Source organism: Homo sapiens, chromosome 13 (genome assembly GCF_000001405.40).
Source record: "Homo sapiens chromosome 13, GRCh38.p14 Primary Assembly".
Classification (NCBI taxonomy): Eukaryota; Metazoa; Chordata; class Mammalia; order Primates; family Hominidae; genus Homo; species Homo sapiens.
Window position 1 is genome coordinate 72,425,380 of NC_000013.11, and position 7,626 is coordinate 72,433,005.

General features: G+C 33.4%; 1 annotated feature.

Annotated features, from left to right (window-relative positions):
* Positions 1,566-3,536: an enhancer, noted in NCBI's record as "VISTA enhancer hs141". NCBI's record gives its function as "enhancer in: dorsal root ganglion[2/2] | eye[2/2]" and the evidence as "EXISTENCE:transgenic organism evidence [ECO:0001131][PMID:17130149]".

A 7,626-nucleotide genomic window follows, 5' to 3' on the forward strand; every position in this document is an offset into this window, starting at 1 on the left:
TTGTTTTTTGGAAACAAACTGACATTAAAAACTGACCTACTTTTGGAGGACAATAATAAGAATCCCTAATACAATCTAAGAAATAAGAGAATAATTCCTCAATGGTCACTGACATAGACAAGCAAATTTTCAGTCTTGAATGAAAAGGAATGGTCATTTTCTAATCTAAAACTCTGTCTTAAGTTCAGCCAATGGCTAAACATAGCCACCACACAGAACAGAGGAGGGAAAAATGTCTAAAGTTGTCCAAAAAAGCAAATGTCTGAAGTTGCCCCGCTGTCCCATCTTATTTGCACCATCAGAAGAGAGAATGGGAAGGGTCTGTGGACAAATATTCCCAAAAGGAGGATTTCACCCTCAACTCCCTCCTGGATTTAATCAACTGCATATGTTGTTTATTGCTGCAGCCCCATGAACATTACCACTTAATAAAATTGTTTCACTCTTTGGTTGTCATAAATGCCACATCTATTTAAAGCCATGTTTTATTTAGTTAAAGTTTGCTTTATCATCCGCAGAAAGGATTATTAAATTGAACAGGTGACGATTTTAGCTAAAGTTAAAATCAATAATATTTAGCTGGGCCTTAGGTGCTAAATTCTAAAATTCCATGTTTTTCACTTTGCCACAGCTCTATATCTAAGCATCGCTGACGGTTCTTGCTCCGTGTTCACCTGTGATTTATGGCTGTTCTAGTAGGTGGGACAAAAGCTTCAAGGCCTCTTGCAGTGTTTAAGCTTCTAATAATCAGAGGAGTTTTATTTTCTTACTCTTTGAACTGAGACTGCTGTTCTCAGTTTTAGAAACTCATTAAAAAATGGAATTTTAAAAAGTTCAGGGCTTAATCTGTTTTCTAAAATATTTAATATCTGACTTTTAGAAAGAATGTAATTCTATAAAACATGCCCTCAAATTTCATCTAAAACAAAATCAATTTAAGTCTTTGGATAAGGATTTTTAGCTCTTCCTTATTTCTTCATTACCCTAAGATAATGTGATGAGAAATGAAGTCTTTGAATGCCCTAGAGTGGTTCCAAACAGTAAAATTTTTCTAACAGCAAACTTCTTGTTCATGGAACTATAACTCACTCTTGAAAGCATGGTGTTTCTATTTTCCTATTTAATTTACATAATGTAAATGGTTATAAATAACATTATCAGAATGTTTCATATCAAAGCATGAATGATTATTAATTGCCTAAACACAAAGAAAGTTTGTCATTCAATCACTATAAAAATTATTTTTCATTAGGTTGGCATGTTAGAAACTAATTATTTTAATAGGCATGGTTAAAAATTCTCCAAAAGACATCCTCCAAAATGAAATATATATGTTTTTTAATTTTTGTGGCTACATAGGTGTATATAGGGCACGTGAGATACAGACATGTAATGCATAATAATCACATCATGTAAAATGGGGTATCCATCCCCTCAAGCATTTATCCTTTGTGTTAAACCTATCTTTAAAAAGAAATTAAAAAAAAACACCATGAAATCTCAATTACTGCTAGCTTAACAACAACAAAAAAATCACCCAATGTCTAATTTGATTTACTAAAGTATGTACACTGCCAGAAGTCTTCCTTAGGAAATAAGGCACAAAAATTCAGTTTCAGTAGCTGTATTACAGTGTAAGTACTTATTTTTGTTGTCTAATATTGGTATACATCAATAAAAAAATAAAATAAATTTCACTTCAATTGTATTAGGACATGTTTAATAAAAACACTGATATAAAAGAAATTTGAAAAATCCTTAAGGTGATTCCTCTTTAGTGCTTTCTGTTTTTAAGTTATTTGATCCATACAATGTGAAAAGAAATGAATGAAACCACTACAAACACAATACATTAGAACTGAGAAAAATTATACTATGCAATGTATATTTTAAACGTACACTTTTTGATCTATTTTAAAATTTTAAAAATAGAAACAAAGCACTTACTGTTAACAAAATTATACCTCTATATAATGATTTTTATTTACCCTAAACCTTCTATGCTTTTAATCAATTGACTTGGCATTCAGAATAGAAACTTTCCTAATTATTTGTATTTATCTACATGGTAACTGACTATGTAAGCTACCTAGGCAACTCCTAAAAATAATTTCAACAGATATTTTAACTTCTCATAAAATTAAAAGTTAGTGTAAAAAATTTTGAGGCAATATACTGAGAATTTGGTCTCCCTTCAATACACACTAACAGAAGAACAGAGACTGATTCCCTAAAATATTGAATCCAATACTGAATGAACAGGCAACACCATTTTAATTGTCATTAGTAAGGATTTATATCTAAAATATCAGAAACACTTTAAGACTATTGACTTATACCAAGGGGTGTTTAAAAGCCTCCCTTTATTTTCAAACTTCTATTTGTAGAGAAAGGAAATAACCTTTACTGTATAGTAGGTATAAAAGAAACCAGATGATTCATCTCTGTGAATCTGCTTGTTGAATTTGATGGATCATTCTTAAAAGCGACGTTGCTAATCTTCAGGTTTTCTTTTTTAGGTTATTCACAGATCAGTGGGTTTTCCAGCTAATACAGGTCTGATGCTCTTCTGTCTTCACACATGGTATTCATCATATCTTGACAAGAAAAGACCTTCAGTCTACAAATAACCTTCACTGAAGTAAGACATGTAAGTGGGTTTCTTTATGAAAGATAGATTTTATGGCTGAATAAAAAACAACTGTAGTTAAAAAGTGTCATTGCATGGCCTTATTTGAAGATTTTTCCTTAAAGGAACTTTAGTGTTTGTTGTTGAAACTACTAACAGACCAAAAAAGAGAGAAGTATTAAATTACTTTATCATTAACCACAAACGCAACACGAAGAGTTGATCAGCTCCGTATTTTATCATTCAGAAGCGTTCAGCCTTTAAAATATTTAAGCATCCACATTAGTTCTTGTCAAACTAGCACAAAGCAGTGCATAATATGACCTGTGTGTAAGAGAAGAACAAGATAAGAGGGTACGGTCAGGGTGAAATTTCCACAATGGGATTGCCCTGTGCTATAGATAATAGTTTGGCTTCCTGTTTCCAGACAATTACAAAATGATGCTGAATGTTTTCTTTATATTTTTACTTGGTCATGCTAAGTCTAGTTGGTATTGAACTACCAAGGAAGTAACAATAAATTTGAGGCATCCTACATGCCCTGTATTATTTCATATGGCCAATTAGAAAAAATAAAAGCTCGATCAAATTTTATGGTGTCAGACAGCGTGATAATTTGGGTTCTCATGGTATAAATAACTTTAAAGAAAATATTAAGGACTTTCAAGCTGGGTAAGAATCAAAATAATTTCTCAGTGTAACTAAACATCTGAGAGTCTCTTTGCATAGTGCCTACTGTGTAGTGAATAAAGGAATGGCTGGGAGACAATTTCTTAAACACCCCTTAAAATCTTCCATTGGTCTTATATAAACCAAAGTATATAGAAATATGATTATCAGTGAAATTAATATAGAGCATTTAAAAGCACAAATTTTAACCCTACTGTGTGGGATGAGAAAATACAGGAAAAATGTGACCTCCAGGAGGGGATTAGAGAGTACTAATGAAAAAAAATCCTTGTAAATCTTAAACCCCTAATTTCAACAGACATTTATTACAAAGCTTTCTGTCCTTCTCTAGTTTTAAATCCAAAAAATGATCCTGGAGAGAAATAAAGTTACTATTAGTGAGATATCAGGAAATTTTATAACAGTAGATATATATATATATATATATATATATATATATATATATATATATCCCAACTTTTAATTTTGTTATTCATTCATTCATCCATCCATCCATTCAGCAAACATTGAATTCCTGATATGTACAAGTTGCTGGAGAAACAGTGGTCAGCAAGAGAGATAAGGGCCCTACCTTCAAGTAGCTTACGTTATGATGGGAGAGAATAACAATGAACAAAAAAAATATATAAAATAATTACAGACTGGAATAAGCAATGCATAAAATAAACCAGGTGTTATAATGAAACATACTGGTTAGGACAGGTTTCTCTGAGAAGATATTCAAGCTAAGATGCAGGAGAAGCAGCTAGCTGATTATCTGAAAACTAGAAGCAAGCTGTTTCATGCTGAGGAAACAGCAAGTGCTTGGAAGGTTCTAGATGTTTAGAAGCCAGTGTAACTGAGGTTTTAATGACCAAGACATAGTCCACAAAATGAAATGGAAGGATCAGCCAGAATAGATCAAGCATTATAGGCCTGAAAAGAGTCTGGATTTTGTTCTATAGTCATTGAGAATTTTAAGCAGCCTTTGATAAGACATGGTGAGATTAAATCCAATCCCAAAGCAAAGCAGTAATACAATAGAGTAGGAGGAAAAAGATTCAAAGGTGAAAAAGGATTTTAAATATACATAAACACTGAATGGCCTAAGCAAAGTTAAAAACAGACCCATATCTTGGAAGCTTTATAAACTATCCTTGTGGCAAATATTGTTGAATTATGGAAAATGAAATAAAACAAAACCTAATGGGCATAGAATGCTAATATATAAAAATGTAGCTTTCAATCATATTTATATATACTGTAAAATAAAAATGCATAGACCTAAACCTTTTGAGAAGTTTTGTTAAGTTTTGTTAAGATTGCAGCAATAATAAAACTATTAAAATTTCACCTTCAAGAGAAGTGGATGCTAACACAATATATTGTGTATAGTCTCTTTAATTTGTTTTAAACCATTAATTTTTAAAATCATTGCTTTCAGAATTACTTATTGTTAATATTTTATCCACACTGCAATGTAAGAATAAAACAATTTTTAACCTTTGGAGAAAAGATACTATTTTCCAGACTGGCAACTTAATAAATATTTGGGTGACTATCCCTGTCTTCGACATCTAAAGTGAATAATTTAATACAATAATATCGTTCAGTTGTGGAGTAGCATGCAATTGAATTGTTATAAATTTACAAAAATGCCTGTAATAATATCACAGATTAAAACATAAATTGATAGAATTGTGGTAGTATGTTTTTACTGTGCAGGAGGATCTGCTAAAATAACCAGCATTTAGGAAAGTGAATGGAATAATATAAACACTTGAATGTAAAAAATTATTACAGATATGACATTGGATATATTAAAGTATTTTGTGGTAAGCAAATATTAAGGAAATAATGATTGAATCTCTTCCTAAAATAACTTTGCCAATGCAGGATCCAAACTCTCTGATTCTGCTTGCCTGAGCGTTTTGTATTTTTAAGTAAGGAGCTGGATCATACTTAGGTTTTTCTGCACATTAAGAAAAGTGTTAGCAGTAAAAAGTCCAGCCCAGGTCCTTCTGTGACTGCCTAGGGACTGCCAAAAACTCCGGGGTATTCCACATCTACTTTCATTATTCTTTCATTCAAAAGTAATTTATCAAAGAGTTACTGTCTGCCAAGCACTGCCCTAGACACTTGAGATATATCAGTAAACAAAACCACAAAGGATCCCTGCTCTCAGAGAGCTTGGATTCTATCAAGAGGAGATCAATAAATATTAGCCTGATAAATAAGTCATATAGTAGATTAGAAGATGATAAATGCCATAGAAAAAGACAAAGTAGAACAAGATAAGGGAGATCTAGACATGAGACAGGAAGCAGGTTACAATTTTAAACAGCATGATCAGTGCACACCTTCTTGAGCAGGTGACTTGTAAGCAGAGGCTTGAAGGAGGTGAGGGATTTGCTGGGCATCTGGGAAAAGAGCATTCCAGGCAGGGCCCTAGGGAAGACAGGCCCGGTGTTTTGTAAGAAGAGAAGGGGCCAGAGTGACAGGAGCGGCAAGGTAGAAACCAATTTTGTACTCTCCAGTACCCATGAAGGAGAAGTCCTGGAATTTTAGCAAAGGAGCAGCTTCGAGCAGCAATATAGGAAGGAAGGGAGGGAGGGAGGGAGACTTAACGTTGAATTTGCATCTTTGTGGCAAGCCTACTGTTTAACCTAGAATTTTTGTCAGAAATAAGAATATCAAAGAATTCTAAAGATCACTGTAGTCACACTTCATGTTTAGAGTTGTCTTTTTTCTTATTATAATCATTCTTTAAAGATGGTACTATGTACCACCTCTCTAGCTACCTCATAGTTCTCAGGCCTGGTTCAAAGTCTTTCTTAGGACTGTACACTTATCTAACAAGCAAATTAGTGGTTATGAAGGAATCAGAATTACAGGGCAGCCCAAGAAACTGCCCAAATGCTGGAACTAAATGTACAGTAATCACTTGGGAAAATGTGGTAAATTCAGAAGAAAATACAAGGTTCTTTAAAAAAAATGTGCATTCAGGTGCACCGAGTTTCAAAATAAAACAAATAACTAAGGAGAAACCATAAAAATCAAGTCCTGCATGTAAAATAATCTCTCGTCTGTTAGTAGGCAGCACTCCACTTTTTGATTTTTTTAATGACGTTTATCCATTACAGTCAAATTAGAAAAAAATAGTATGACAGTGCTTCAATATTTTTAAACAAAGCAGAAATCTTTTAGTAATCTGTTGACTTGAAATACTCCAAAAGAAAGTGGATTAGTCCCACAAAACAAAGTGCTTTCCTCAATACGTGTTTATTGTAATGGAGTCCAGGACCACCACATGACATTATAGTAAAAGCTCTGCAGTATTTCCATCTGGCAATGAGAACACAAGATGTTGTGTAAACTACCAGAAGGGCTCTATTTCATTGTAATTAAAATTTAGTGTTACACTTAAGCAATAAGGCAACTCCAGGAGATGTGATTATCATGAGATAATGACCTTGGGGTGTTACAAGGCATACAAAGAACCAAATGCCTCCAATCCTCTAGGGGGCAAGATTATTTCTACATAACAATCTCCACCTCCTCTTGCTTACCCACCCCTGCCCCTGAAGCTGTATGATCAGTGAAAGAGGAAAGCTTGGGATTAAGAGCACTAATATGATTTCTGCAAAAAGAGGACATCGGGGGACTGGTATATGACAAAGATGGCATCGTGGAATGCTGAAGCAGCAGTTTCAAATGAGTTGTATTGTTTTCACAATAATTATGCAATGGCTTTAGAATTCTCTGGACACACATAGAACTGTCAGTGATGTCATAGTCATGTAAGTAATCCTCAGCAAGGGCACAGATTTAACCTTTTCCCCCTGTTTTGGTTTCGTGATTTCCATTCCATAATAGCAATAAGATATGACAGGTGGTACATTTCTTGAGGGTTTATTATTCTTCTTGGGTGGTTGAAGCCATTCAGCCTTTGGCCTGAACCTCTCAAGACATCTGAGATGTATAATAATTTCCCCAAAATGCAATGCCTGTCATGTCTTATTGCTTAATTACTTTGTACTTACCAAGTAATTCTTCTTAAAGTGAATGCAGATAACAGCGCTTATATTACAGTTTATACTACTAGAAACTACTTCTAAATGGGAAAACATGGGACAATTTCTACTGTTATGAATGAGGGAACATTCCATTGTATTATTGTTATAAACTGTAAACTGGAGGGCCACTTAAAATTATGTAAAATATTTATATGTTTTAATAATTTGTTGGAGGGGAAAGTGATAAACTAAAATTAGAGTTAATATAAAATTAGGACATCCTCAATGACAGCTCATGTTGAGGAGATGGGT